This window comes from Homo sapiens, chromosome 8 (genome assembly GCF_000001405.40).
Source record: "Homo sapiens chromosome 8, GRCh38.p14 Primary Assembly".
Lineage (NCBI taxonomy): Eukaryota > Metazoa > Chordata > Mammalia > Primates > Hominidae > Homo > Homo sapiens.
The window spans coordinates 103,658,522-103,674,332 of NC_000008.11; the positions used below are offsets into that span (position 1 = coordinate 103,658,522).

General features: G+C 40.4%; 1 protein-coding gene, 1 non-coding gene and 1 pseudogene across 48 annotated transcripts in view; all 3 read left to right on the top strand.

Moving 5' to 3' along the window:
- The window catches only part of RIMS2 (regulating synaptic membrane exocytosis 2), a 755,485-nt gene that overhangs the window by 157,912 nt on the left and 581,762 nt on the right, over window positions 1-15,811 (top strand). The gene's annotated exons all lie outside the window — the stretch shown is intronic.
- Window positions 723-2,067, top strand: TARBP2P1 (TARBP2 pseudogene 1; annotated as a pseudogene).
- Window positions 6,774-6,873, top strand: LOC124902094 (small nucleolar RNA U13). The gene has a single exon (XR_007061222.1). It is a non-coding gene; the product is annotated as a small nucleolar RNA U13 (small nucleolar RNA).

Here is a 15,811-nt window from a genome sequence, read left to right on the forward strand (position 1 = left end):
CAGGAGTCATTAGCTGTTTTTTTCCAAAGATCATCTGCTTCTGGAAGCTTCTTAAGACTCCTGTTTAAGGACTCCCAGTGGAGAAGATTTTCAAGCCCAGGGAAAATGGTGTGTATCTTTTTAGTTGTGAAACATGAATTCAAGGGTCAACGTTTTGGAGCTTTTAATGGAAGTGCTAATTATTAGCATGACTTACCACACTCTTTTCATGAAGTGTCCAGGACAGTTTTTCTCCCTTGTCTCCTCCAGAGTACTAAATGTGCAGATCTCAGGTCATAGAGAGTTGCTTAGAAGGATGTTTTGGAAAGACTGCTTTTACCTGTTGATGACAAGACTGAGTGTATCACATGATTTCTTTGCTGTGTCTACTCATGTTAGCTTGCAATAGCAGAATATAGGATCAAAGGTGAAATTTAAAAATATGTGGGGCAGTCCATTATTCATTCACAAGGAGAGAGCAGATGGGTCCCCAGAAATGTTTATCTTTTTGTTTTGAAGGCTAATGCTGATAGAAATCGAAGAGTCCTTGAGGATATTTAATTTTAATTTTTAAAGTTCACTTGTTCTACTTTTTCTGAAGATTAAGAATGATATAGACAAAAGATTGTTTTTGTAAGCTGTGTGCTTCTTATGGTGCTTGACTGGTCAAAGAAGTTGATATGGAGGCAGTCACAGTGGTGCCTGTGGGGACAGAGGAGGGAATGGGTGAAGAGGAGCAAGACTCTGGCACTACCACGGGCTGCGGGCTGCCTAGTGTAGAGAAAATGCTGGCCACCAACCCGGGCAAGACCCCAATCAGCCTTCTGCAGAAGTATGGTACCAGAATAGGGAAGAACACCTGTGTACTACCTTCTCAAAGCCGAGGGCCCACCAGCCTAATTTCACCTTCTGGGTCTGTTGGCAACACCAGCTGCACTGCTCAGGGCCCCAGGAAGAAGGTAGTCAAGCACAAGGCAGCTGAGGTGGCCCTCAGACACCTCAAAGTGGAGAGCATGTTGGAGCCGGCCCCGGAGGACAGCAGTTCTTTTTCTCCCCTAGACTCTTCACTGCCTGAGGACTTTCCAGTTTTTACTGCTGCAGCAGCTGCTACCCCAGTTTCATCTGTTTTCCTAACCAGGAGCACCCCCATGGAAAAGCAGCCCCCGCTCCTCCCTTCAGCAGTCGGAGTGCATCCCTGTTGGTGCTCTTCAGAAACTGGTGGTGCAGAAAGGCTGGTGGTTGCCAGAGCACACAGTGACCTAGGAGTCCAGGCCAGATCAACACGAAGAATTGACCTGACGAGTGGAGCGTTTCACTGAGATTGGCAGTGGCACTTCCAAAAAATCAACAAGTTGTAATGCAGTGACCAAAATGCTGCTTCGAGTGCACACGGTGTCTGTGGATGCCTGGGATGGCAATGAGGCAGAGCCTGATGATGACTACTTCTCCATTGATGTGGGCTCCCGCCTGGATGGTCTTCAGAACCGGGGCCCAGGCCGCACCTGAGATTTTCTACCAAATTCATTGGAGAGAAGATCCTGTCCTTCTGCAATTGCTCCCTGGGCTCCATAGGTGCCCTGGGCCCTGCCTGCTGCCGTGTCCTCAGTGAGCTCTCTGAAGAGCAGGTCTTCCACGTCAATTACCTGGATGTTGAGGAGCTGAGCCTGAGTAGACTCTGCCAGTGTCTGGTGGAACTGTCCTTCCAGCTGGCCACTGCATATCATGGCTCTGCAACCACCAGGGAGGCAGCCCGTGGTGAGGCTGCTTGCCGTGCCCTGCAGTACCACAAGATCATGGCGGGCAGCAAGTGAAGCGCTAGCTGGACTCATGGATGTGCACCCTTTGCTTCCTGCTATTCCTGCCTCTGTGCTCACGTATCTGCTCAGCTCTGGTACCTTCTGTAGGTGCCATCTCTACCTCTGACACAGACTGTCTGCCTCGAGGCTGAGAAGGCACAGGGCAAGGAGCCAAGGACCTCAGGGCCTCAGCCAGCCCGGAATCTGTCCTCATTTTATTGGTGATGATGAGTGGGAATGAAATCAGGGGGCTGTATACTAGGGCCCGGAATAAACATGCTGCTTCGTGGATAAAAACAAAAACAAAAACAAAAACAAAAAAACAAATCTGATACGGAGTTGTGAAATGGTAAAGGCAGTTCCTGGACATAGATGTGTTTCCAGGTCTAACATAGATAATCTTTAATCTGAATAATGTAAAATTGCCAGAATCTTTCTCATACCTTAGAATCATATTAAATGCTGTGTGGCTCAAGGCAGGGATAAGTAAATAAACTTTTAAAATGACAAATGATAGGTTGCTCAGAAAAGGATACTTAGAAAAATTGATAAAAGCAGCAAAGTACTTATTGCTAAGTAATATAAAACTTAAGTAAAACTTATAAGTAATATAAAAAATGAAAAGTGCACAGATTGAAGGTATAGAAAGTAGCACTGAGATCAAGAAGCAGAACATTAACAGCCATGCAGGATTTCCTCATGCTCCCTTTCAGGGAGAACTATTTCCCATCTCCAAGGGTAACTTTTATCCTTTTGCCTAGCACCACTATTTTCTGTCCAGCACCATTATTTTGGCCTATTTTTATTTAGAGTTTACAGAAAGAATCATACAATGTATTCTATTGGTTCTGTATTGTTTTGCTCAATATAATGTCTGTGAGATTCAGCTATATAATTGCATGCAATTGTATTTCATTCATTCTCAGTGCTGTCTGTACTTCAGTATCTGAATATACCACATTTTATTGATCAGTTTTACTATTGATGTGCGTTTGAGTTTGTTTCTAATTTTTGCCTATTATGAATAGTGCTGCTGTATACATTCTGATGTCATTATTTTTTTTCCTATGACTTTGGAGGAGAATTTTGGAGTTATTTGTGAAAGTAAAGTACTTCAGCTACTTCAAAATACTTTAAAATATTAAAGCTAGTTGCTCTCTAATTTCCCTAATTTCCCATTTAGTTATTTGGTAATACTATAAATGCTGTTTTTTGTTTTTTTTTTAAGACAGAGTCTCGCTCTGTCACCCAGGCTGGAGTGCAGTGGCGTGATCTTGGCTCACTGCAACTTCTGCCTCCCGGGTTCAATCAATTATCCTGCCTCAGCCTCCCGAGTAGCTGGGATTACAGGCACACGCCGCCACCCCTGGCTGATTTTTTTGTATTTTTAGTAGAGATGGGGTTTCACCGTGTTTCCCAGGCTGGTTTCAAACTTCTGAGCTCGGGCAATCTGCCCGCTTGGTCTCCCAACGTGCTAGGATTACAGGCGTGAGCCACTGCATCTAGCCTAGATGCTGTTTTTTGAGCATGCCTTACCATTTGATGTTTTGGTGCCTTTGCATCTGGCCTAGAAAGGGAGAAAAGGAGTGATATGATATGATTTGTTCTAAAATACAATTTTGAAATTTCACTTGTTATTTCTACTTTTTCTGAAGATTGAGAAAGATACAGAGAATGATATTGAGAATGATATAGACCTGGGGTGTCCAATCTTTTGGCTTCCCTGGGCTACATTGGAAGAAGAATTAATTGTCTTCGGCCACACATAAAATACAGTAACACTAATGATAGCTGATGAGCTAAAAAAAGTTTCCAAAAATCTTATAATACTTTAAGAAAGTTTACAGATTTTTCTTGGGCTGTATTCAAGGCTGTCCTGGGCCTCATGTGGCCCATGGGTCCCAGGTTAGACAAGCTTCATATAGACAGAAGATGTTTTTGTGTAAGCTATGTGCCTCTTATGGTGGTGATCTCTTCTAAAATACAAATCAGATCATATCACTGTGCATCATATAGTAGTAGGAAGTTTACAGTTAACGACATCAGTTGAGATTAAGTGCAATTAAATTTACACAAATTGTAAAAAATGTAAATATTGTTATCAGAGTTTTTTCTTTTTATGTTTTGTGTGAAAAACACATATTCTTATACCCAGGCAACAGTGGATAAAAGTGTTTTTACTCTCCAATGTCTTTTTCAAAGAAGTACTTTTTTTGTTCAAGCAGAAAGCAGTTACAGGTGGAATATTTACAATGAACTCAAATTATTCTTCTATTTATCACCATATTTTTATTTCAGAATTGAGTTGATACTTTTCTTCAAGAAGCAAATTTCAGAGAAGAAATGAAACACCTTTTCCCTTTGGAGTCAGAAGAGTCTATCTATCTATCTATCTATCTATCTATCTATCTATCTATCTATCTATAGTCTTATAAATATAGTCATTCTCTAGTGTCAATAACAAGCTACAAGTGTAATTTTTACATATTTTTAATGTCAGTCTCTAATATCAATATTTTATTTTGTGAACAGAATAATAATGTCAGCTCTGAAGATTCTGTATCTAGCGACTACATAAATTTTTCTGGAGCAGGCCAGGCACAGTTGCTCACGCCTGTAATCCTAGCACTTTGGGAGGCCCAGGCAGGCGAATCATCAGGTCAGGAGTTCGAGACTAGCCTGGCTAACATGGTGAAACCCCGTGTCTACTAAAAATACAAAAAATTAGCTGGGCATAATGGCACGTAACTGTAATCCAGCTACTCAGGGGGCTGAGGCAGGAGAATTGCTTGAATCTGGGAGGCAGAGATTGCAGTGAGCTGAGATTACACCACTGCACCCTAGCCTGGGTGACAGAGTGTGAGATTCTGTCTCAAAAAAAAAAAAAATTTTTTTTCTGGAGGAAAAGACTCTCTTAATTTAATTGCCTTTTCAATACAGTTTTAGTTATGGTGGCATTATAAAACAGAGAAACAAAGCCATTTGTATTAAGGAGGTGTGTTACAATAGAAATAAAGGGTATTCAGTTAGGAAAAGAGGAAGTCAAATTGTCTCTGTTTGCGGATGACATGATTATATATTTAGAAAACCCCATCGTGTCAGCCCCAAATCTCCTTAAGCTGATAAGCAAATTTAGCAAAGTCTCAGGATACAAAATCAATGTGCAAAAATCACAAGCATTCCTATACACCAATAATAGACAAACAGCCAAATCATGAGTGATCTCCCATTAACAATTACTACAAATAGAATAAAATACCTAGGAATCTAACCTACAAGTGATGTGAGGGACCTCTTCAAGGAGAACTACAAACCACTGCTCAACGAAATAAAAGAGGACACAAACAAATGGAAGAATATTCCATGCTCATGGATAGGAAGAGTCAATATTGTGAAAATGGCCATACTGCCCAAGGTAATTTATAGATTCAATGGTATCCCCATCAAGCTACCACTGACTTTCTTCACAGAATTGGAAAAAAACTACTTTAAAGTTCATATGGAACCAAAAAAGAGCCCGCATAGCCAAGACAGTCCTAAGCAAAGAGAGCAAAGCTGGAGGCATCACACTACCTGACTTCAAAGTATACTACAAGGCTACAGTAACCAAAACAGCATGGTACTGGTACCAAAACAGTTATGTAGACCAATGGAACCAAAGAGAGGCCTCAGAAATAACACCATACATCTACAACCATCTGATCTTTGACAAAGCTGACAAAAACAATGGGGAAAGGATTCCCTATTTAATCAATGGTGCTGGGAAAACTGGCTAGCCATATGTAGAAAGCTGAAACTGGATCCTTTCCTTACACAGTATAAAAAATTAATTCAAGATGGATTAAAGACTTCAATGTAAGACCTAATACCATAAAAACCCTAGAAGAAAACCTAGGCAATACCATTCAGGACATAGGCATGGTCAAAGACTTCATGACTAAAACACCGAAAGCAATGGCAACAAAAGCCAAAATAGACAAATGGGATCTAATTATACTAAAGAGCTTCTGCACAGCAAAAGAAACTATCATCAGAGTGAACAGGCAGTACAGAATGGGAGAAAACCTTTGCAATCTACCCATCTGACAAAGGGCTAATATCCAGAATCTACAGAGAACTTAAACAGATTTACAAGAAAAAAAACAACAACCACATCAAAAAGTGGATGAAGGATATGAACAGACACTTCTCAAAAGAAGACATTTATCTGGCCAACAAACATGAAAAAAAGCTCATCATCACTGGTCATTAGGGAAAAGCAAATCAAAACCACAGTGAAATACCATCTCATGCCAGTTAGAATGGCAATCATTAAAAAGTCAGGAAACAACAGATGCTGGAGAGGATGTGGAGAAATAGGAACACTTTTACACTGTTGGTGGGAGTGTAAATTTGTTCAACCATTGTGGAAGACAGTGTGACAATTTCTCAAGCATCTAGAACTAGAAATGCCATTTGACCCAGAAATCCTATTACTGGGTATAAGCCCAAAGGATTATAAATCATGCTATTATAAAGACACATGCACATGTATGTTTATTGTGGCACTATTCACAATAGCAAAGACTTGGAACCAACCCAAATGTCCATCACTGATAGACTGGATTAAGAAAATGTGGCACATATACACCATGGAATACTATGCAGCCATAAAAAAGGATGAGTTCATGTCCTTTGCAGGGACATGGATGCAGCTGGAAACCATCATTCTAAGCAAACTATCACAGGGACAGAAAACCAAACATCGCATGTTTTCACTCATAGGTGGGAGTTGAACAATGAGAACACATGGACACAGGGTGGGGAACATCACATACCAGGGCCTGTCTGGGCATGGGAGCCTGGGGGAGGGATAGAATTAGGAGAAATACCTAAAGTAAATGACAAGTTGATGGGTGCAGCAAACCAACATGGCACATGTATATCTGTGTAACAAACCTGCACGTTGTGCATATGTACCCTAGAACTTAAAGTATAATGAAAAAATGTGTATTAGAGATTCTTTCATAGTTCATAAGTGTGATTGGGTGTTTAACGCTCATTTGAGATGTTCCTCCCTCAAACCTTGGTATTATGTTTGCACATTACACATCTGATGTTAAAAAAAGAAATGTGTGAAAGATAAAGGATTAATATTGATAAAGAACTTCATGTGACTTCTGGCATCAAGTCTTTTTTACCCAGTAGTTCAGAAATGGTTTTGAGATATGCTATGAGTCTAAAAAGAATTAATCAAATATCTGACCTATTCAAGATAGGTTTGTAATCTTTCTCAACATTGTCTTACTGATTTCTATAACTTGTGATGTTACAATCTTAATTGGATATTAGATAATATGGGAAATAATTCTTAGTATTCTACCTCACGCTGACTTTCCAGCTTCTTCTATTGTATTTTCCTCCCTGTTTTCCCCCCATGCATACCTTATTCCAAATGAGAATACTTTCAACTTCCTGAATTTTCCATTTGCTTTCATACTTTGCATGTGAAAAAATGTAAGCCTGAAATTTATTCTTCATTTTATGCCTATCACAATTTTGCATGTCTTTCATGGCCCAAATGCTTATAAAACTAAAAAATGTTTTTCTTCTATGAAGTTTTATCAACACCATTCACAACTAATGCCTCTTTTCCTTATGCTCCAGTAACAGTTTTCTTATATATTAATACTTATTTAGTACATATTTCAGTTGACTTGTTAGAAGAAAAACTTCAGACAAATTAAATTTAACAGAGTTTAATTGAGGAAAGAATGATTCCTGAATCAGGAATCCCCTGAACCAGAATAGATTCAGAGAGACTTTGGCACTGCCACATGGTCAGAGAGGATTTATGGACAGAAAAAGGAAAATGATGTACAGAAAATGAAAATGAGGTACAGGAATAGCTGGATGTGTTGCAGTTCAGCATTTGCTACAGTTGAACAGTTGGTCACCTGTTATTGCCTGAAACTCAGTGATTGGTACAAGAGTAAGTTGCAGTCTGTTTATACATCTAGTTAGATTACAGTTCACTATGTACAGAGAAACCTTTAGGCCAAACTTATAATGAGGGCAGTTTTAGGCTAAGCCTAATTTAACAATTCCCTTCATTTGGTCAACCGGAGAGGTTGACCAAAACTTTATGCGTTGACATCATTCTTTTGCCATGATAAATGTATTTACTTGGTCTCAAATCTCACTAGAAAATAGCAGAACAGTGGGTTTTGTAAGTCCTTGTAAACAGGACTTTAACTTACTTTTTTGTAAAAGGTAGCCTAGAGGAGACTTCCTTATTATGCTGGAATGTCCTGTTTTCAAGAGAGAAAAACATTTCTGGTCTTTTTTGGGGGGCTATCTGCTTCTTTAAAGTTTCAATTTGATTATGTTGCATTTAGCATGAGTGACTCCATCTTGATTTGATCTGGTCTGGTCTGTTAAGGCCTAGTGTATGAGCTCAGTCCAAAACAATGACCTCCCATAATTTTGTTTAACTCATCCTTTTGGTCAGGTTTTTACGTAGGTGAGAGTGTGAGCAAAGCTTAGGGCATTAGCACTACTCTTAGTTACCATCATTTAGGGTTTCCAGTCACAGTGTGTCGTTCATAGGTTATGGTGTTCTCATAATCATGCATTTCTTTGAGTTTTTGTTGTTCCAGTTGAAGAGAAACCATTTGACATTCTATAGATGACTGTATGCAAACATTTAAAACTTTTGAGAGAATACAGTGCACCAGGGAGATGACTATTATGACTGTCAGGAGGATAATACCAAGAGTTTGGAGTATGCCTTAGCTGGGATCCTCATGAACCAAACCAGCTAAAATCAAAGACCAAAGAATAAGCTAGATAAAGCATCTGTTTGTTTCAACCAAGCAACCTATTTGTTAATCCCCTACAACAGAATCTCTATAATACATAATGTATGTGTCATGTGCAACAAGAAGTGTCAGTAACTTCACAGATACTTCTCTGTTCAGCAGTAAGTTATAATTTTATTGGATGTAGCATAACTTCAGCAAGAGAATTTAAAGAAGCTTTTTGTGCACCCATAGTCTTTGCAGTAGAATCTGCTGTAGAACCTGTTATAAGGAATAAATTTTTAATCATTGCCTCATTTACTCCAAACTGTGTAAAAAGAGACCGCCCATCTGGAATAATGAAGGCCTTCTGGCAGTTTTCTCTTGAACTGATGACGTAGGTTAAGAGGAGTGGACCACTGTTCTGTCTCTGACATTATGAAGCAACAAAGATATTAAAATTTCTTGAACACGTTGTTTTTCATCTTTCATGTATCAAAGCATAGGTTGTCCATAAATAAGGTTGGCTGCAAAATCCCCCACAAATAAAAGTATACTTCATGAGTGCACACAAACCCCTTTTCCAGTGGTATTGCTCATAGAGGTATAAGCAAGGAAAAAATTGAGAAGTAAGAGTTTCATGATAGCAGAGAAGTCTTGATCTGTGATCTTTGGAAAGCTGTCTGAATCTGGGATGTCATCTGCTTCTAGGGAGAAACTTCTGTGGTTAGCTTTACCTTAAGGTCTCCAATGGGTGTATAGTTCCAAGAGTCTGTAGGGGATCTTCTGAGTTGTGAGATTACAAGCTTAAGGTTCACAGTCCCACAGTTTTGTTGCAGTGTGGGTGGCAGGGGCAGTCTTTCCTTGATGTTTCCAGAAGACCAAATCTCTGAGTTTTAGATCACCTGGGTTTGATTGTCCTCTGTTGGGGGACCATGACAAACTTTCTTTAACCTGGTGAAAATACACTTTGGCATAATACATTAAAGCCTGGTAGAATTTAGTCATATTAGAGTTTAGGAATGGAAGATACATGAGGTTCTATTATTAGGAGCATAGGCCTTCCAGTGACTATTTCATAAGGGATCAACTTATATTTTCCTCTGGAACTAGATCTGATTGTTATCAATCTGCAATATCTTTGACCAAGGCAACCTAGTTGATTCAATTAGTTTTGCTTAATGTTACTGTATTTGTAATACCTTATTTATTTTACTTGTCCAGTGAAACAAGTACCTTTATCACTAGAGACTTTTCCAGGAATGTCCCATGAGGGAAATACATTTTCTGATAACCTTTTAGCTACTGTTATAGGATTAACCTTCTTGTATGAGAAAGCTTCTGTATAACCAGAATATATGCATTGAAAACAACAATGGAATGAAATCTTTCTATGTTCAAATGGCCAATCAGGTAGCAGAAATATACCTGAAGTATATTTGTCACAAGTCATTTTGGTAATTTAGAAGAGTCACCACACCAGTTTGTAAGTGTGTGTGTGTGTGAGTGTGTGCATGCATGTGTGTATTCTATTTGGATCATTTTATCTCCTCCATGGTGAGTCATGGAGTATAGACGATTTATTTATTTATTTATTTATTTATTTATGTATTTATTTATTTAGAGATGGAGTCTTGCTCTGTCACCTAGGCTGGAGTGTGGTGGCACAGTTGTAGCTCAGTGTAGCCTTGAACTCCCGGGCTCAAGCAATTCTCCCACCTAAGCCTCCTGAGAAGCTGGGATTATGGGTAGAAGCCACAATGCCCAGCTAGAGCTTTTAATAATGGAGGTTTAAGGATTTAGGAATTACAGGTGACTGTCCAGCCTCTCTCTGTGAGTCTACATTTAACATTGGATTTATATTCTCTTAAATACCAATTTTGTTTCTCCAAATTAAGTGTGTAGCATTGTTTTCTAGATGGATTATCATAGTTTGTTAGTCTGTTTTCACGCTGCCGATGAAGATATACCCAAGACTGGGTAATTTATAAAGGAAAGAGGTTTAATGGACTCATAGTTTGATGTGGCTGGGGAGGCCTCACAATCATGGTGGGAGGCAAAAGGCACATCTTACATGGTGGCAGGCAAAGAGAGAATGAGAGCCATGCGAAAGTGTTTCCCCTTATGAAACCATCAGATCTCGTGAGACTTATTCATTACCAAGAGAACTGTATAGGGAAAACTGCCCCCATGATTCAGTTGTCTCCCCCTGGGTTCTTCCCAAAACGTGGGAATTATGGAAGCTACAATTCAAGATGAGATTTGGGTGGGGACATAGCTGTACCATATCACTTCATCCCTGGCCACTTTCAAATCTCATGTCCTCATATGTCAAAACCAATTATGCCTTCCCAACAGTCCCTCAAAGTCTTAACTCATTTCACCATTAACTCAGAAGTCCACAGTCCAAAATCTCATTTGAGACAAGGCAAGTCCCTTCCACCTATGAGCCTGTAAAATCAAAAGTAAGTTAGTTGCTTCCTAGATACAGTGGGAGTATAGGCATTGGATAAATACAGCCATTCCCAATGGGAGAAATTGGCCAAAACAAAGGGGCTACAGGCCCCATGCAAGTCTGAAATCCAGTGGGACAGTCAAATCTTAAAGCTCCAAAATGATTTCTGTTGACTCCATGTGGCTCACATCCAGGTCACACTGATGCAAGAGGTAGGTTCTCATAGTCTTGGACAACTCTGCCCTGTGGCTTTGCAGGGTACAGAGCCCCTTCCGGCTGCTTTCATGGGCTGGCACTGAGTGCCTGTGGCTTTTCCAGGTGCACAGTGCAAGCTGTCAGTGGATCTACCATTCTGGGGTCTGGAGGATGGTGGCCCTCTTCTCACAGCTCCACTAGGCAGTGCCCCAGTGTGGACTCTGTGTGGGAGCTCCAACCCCACATTTCCCTTCTGCACTGCCATAGTAGAGGTTCTTATGAGGGCCCTGCCCCTGCAGCAAACTTCTGCCTGGACATCTAGGCGTCTCCATACATCCTCTGAAATCTAGACAAAGGTTCCCAAACCTCAATTCTTGACTTCTGTACACCCTCAGGCTCAACACCAGGTGGAAGCTGCCAAGGCTTTGGGCTTGCACCCTCTGCAGCCATAGCCCAAGCTGTACCTTGGCCCTTTTTAAACATGGCTAGAGCAGCTGGGATGCAGGGCACGAAGACCCTAGGCTGCACGCAGCAGGGGGACCCTGGGCTGAGCCCACAAAACCATTTTTTTCCTCCTAGACCTCTAGACCTGTGATGGAAGGGGCTGCTGCAAAAGTCTCTGACATGCTCTGGAGATATTTTCCCCATTGTCTTGGCAATTAACATTTGGCTCCTCGTTACTTAAGCAAATTTCTGCATCTGGCTTGAATTTCTTCATAGAAAATGGGTTTTTCTTTTCAGTCGCATTGTCAGGCTGCAAATTTTCTGAACTTTTATGCTGTTTCCCTTTTAAAACTGAATGCTTTTAACAGCACCCAAGTCACCTCTTGAATACTTTGCTGCTTAGAAATTTCTTCTGCCAGGTACCCTAAATCATCACTCTCAGGTTCAAAGTTCCACAAATCTCTAGGGCAGGGACAAAATGTTGCCAGTCTCTTTGCTAAAAAATAACAAGAGTCAGCTTTGCTCCACTTCCCAACAAGTTACTTATCTCCATCTGAGACTACCTCAGCCTGGATTTCATTGTCTATATCATTATCAGCATTTTGGTCAAAGCCATTCAACAAGTCTCTAGGAAGTTCCAAACTTTCCCACATTTTGCTGTCTTCTTCTGAGCCGTCCAGACTGTCCAAATCTCTGGACTGTTACCCAGTTCCAAAGTTGCTTCCACATTTTCAGGTACCTTTACAGTAGCACCCCACTCTAATGGTACCTGCTTACTGTATTAGTCCATTTTCATGCTGTTGATAATGACATACTTGAGACTGGGTAATTTATGAAGGAAAGAGGTTTAATGGACTCATGGTTCCACGTGCCTGGGGATGCCTCACAATCATGGTGGGAGGCGAAAGGCACGTCTTACATGGTGGCAGGCAAAGAGAAAATGAGAGCCATGCAAAAGTGTTTCCCCTTATAAAACCATCAGATCTTGTGAGACTTATTCACTACCATGGGAACAATATGGGGGAAACCGCCCTCATGATTCAGTTATCTCCCACCGAGTGCCTCCCAAAACGTGGGAATTATGGGAGCTACATTTCAAGATAAGATTTGGGTGTGGACACAGCCAAACCATATCACATTGGTAATTTGACTTGCATCATGGAGTTCATTCGAATAGCACATCTTAATAATTTCAGTGCTGGCTGATTTATTATGAAAACCTGGCAAAGTATTTTCTTGGTATTCAATTAATTATTGTCCTCCTTGGATTAGCAGTTTTATAAATCAGTTAGTCTTTTCATTGGAGTACTAGGAATCCTTACTTAGTCCAAATGATATGATCCTAAAGTCATCAGAAACCTGTATTCAAAGGTGCTTCTTATGGTCCTTTCTACCCTTTCCATGAACTTCCATGAAGACACAACACTTTAGGATTTTATTTGCTTGTAAAGAGCTGTTTTAAAATGCATCAGAATTAAGCAGTTAACTGTGGACAAGAATTAATATGATCATGATCAAAGACACAAGTGAGAAGAAAATTTGGTTGTTTCTGTGGCCTATAATAACTTAACATAATAACTATAGTTATGACTGATTTCCTACCAAGATATAACAGAATTTTAGGAATCACATACAATTTTGGAACATATATTAATAACGTATTCATGAAAATATAACTCAAAGAGGGTAAAACATTTCTTATTTGACAATGCTTCCCATATGCTTTAACATACCAAATAAGCCTGTTCATCTCTCTTTTGAATGTTTCAGGGTCCCTCTGTAGCATTCCAAAGTAGTTTGAGGTCACAAAAAGACAACTTTTAATTTGAAGTTTGATTTTGGGAAACATATCAAATATGTCAAAGGTTTAAAACAATTAAAACAGGATCACTAGTCACTGTAAATAATATTTATTTAGCCAAAGGGATAAATAAAAGGTTTTAAAAAGCAAAAATCTGTTTTCAGTTTTCCAAACAATCTGGAGACCTAATGAAAACAATATGGGACAGTATCTGTGTCTGCTTCTGTCTTCTATTGTTTTTTTTTTCTTCACAGTTTACTCAAATGTTGAACAGAAATTTATCTACTATCTCTTATTAATATTATATGCAAATCTTGTTCAAAGTAAAATACCAAATGTTATTTATGTATTAATACATTATGAATTATATTAAGCCATTCTTGCATTGCTATAAATAAATGCCATTGATTAGGTAATTTATAAACAAAATAGTTTTAATTGGCTCACAGTTCTGCAGGCTTTAAAGTAAACATGGTGCCGGCATCTGCTTGGGCTTTTAGGGAGGCCCCAGGAAGCTTACAGTCACAGTGGAAGGTGAAGGGGGAACAGGCCATTGTAGGAGCATGGCTAGAACAGGAAGAAGAGAGGATGGTGGGGAGAGGTGCCACACACTTTTAAAGATAACCAGAGTTAGTGAGAACTCACTCACTATAGTGAAGATAGCACCAAGCCATGAGGGATCTAGCCCCATGACCCAAACACTTTATACTAGGCCTCACCTCCAGCACTGGGGATTACAATTCTACATGAGATTTGGGTAAGGAAAAATCTCCAAACTATATCATTCCATCCCTTGTCCCTCCCAAATCTCATTTCCTTCTCACATAACTAAATACAATCATGCCTTCACAACAGTCCCCCAACATTGTAACTTGTTCTATTGTTTAAAGTCCAAAGTCCGAAGTTTCATCTGAGACAAGGCCAGTCTCTTTTACCTGTGAGCCTGTAAAATCAAACAAGTTATCTACTCCCACAGTACAAGTGGGGTATAGGAATTGGGTAAACATTTTTATCCCAAAAGGTAGAAATTGGCAAAAAGAAAGGGGCTACAGGTCTCATGTAAGTTTGAAACTCAGCAGGGCAGTCATTAACTCTTAAAGCTCCAAGAAATCTCCTTTGACTCCATGTCCTGCGTGCAGGACACACTGGTGCATGAGGTGGGCTCCTATGGCCTTGGGCAGCTCCACCCCTGTGGCTTTGCAGGGTACTGCCCCTGTAGCTGCTCTCATAAGTTATTGAGTGCCTGCAGCTTTTCCACATGCAGGATTCAAGCTCCCACTGGATCTACCATTCTGGATTTTGGAGGATGGTGGTCCCTTTCTCACAACTCTACTAGGCAGTGCCCCAGGGGGGACTCTGTGTGGAAGCTCCAACCCCACATTTCTCCTCTGCACTCTCCTAGTAGAGATTCTCTGTGAGGGCTCCACTCTTAGGAGGCTTCCGCGTGGACACTGTGCTTTTTCATACATCCTCTCAAATCTAGGAGGAGGCTGCCGAGATTGCACTCTGTGTGCCTGCAATCTTAATACTATGTGGAAGCTGCCAAGACTCATGGCTTGCATTCTTCAAAGTGTCAGCTCAAGCTGTATCTGGGCCTCTTTGAGCCCCAGCTGTAGCTGTAGCTAGAGCAGCCAGCATGCCAGGTGCCATGTCTTGAGGTGGCACAGGGTAGTGGTTTCTGTTCTCCCAGGCCTCAGTGCCTGTGATAGGTGGGCCCGCCATGAAGGTTTCTGAACTCCATCAAGGTCTTTTCTCCATTGTCTTGAATATTAGCAGTTGGCTCCCATTTAGTAATATAAATATCTCTAGTAAGTTGTTGCTTCACAGCCAGCTTGAATTCCTCTCCCATAAAAGCTTTTTCTTTGCCACATGGCCAGACTGCAGATTTTCCAAACTTTTAGGCTCTATTTCCTTTGAAATGTAATTGTTGACTTTAGATTATTCTTTGGTCCCACATGTGAGTATAGGTTGTTAGAAGCAGGGAGGCCACATCTTGAACTTTTTGCTGCTTAGAAATTTCTTCCTTCAGATACCCTAGGTCATCACTCTGAAGTTCAGACTTCCACAGGTCCCTAGGACATGAGCAGAATGCAGCTAAACTTTTTGCTTAGGCATAACATGCATGACATTTGTTCCAGCTCCCAGTAAGGTTCTCATTTCCATCTGAGACCTTGCCAACCTTGATTTTAGTGTCCATACCACTATCAGCATTTTGGTCACAACTGTTTAATCAGTCCCTAAGAAGTTCCAAACTTTCCTTCATCTTCCTCTCTTCTTCTGAGCCCTCCAAACTCTTCCAACATCTGCCCATTACCCAGTTCCCAAGTTGCTTCCTCATTTTCAGGTATCTTTATAGCAATGC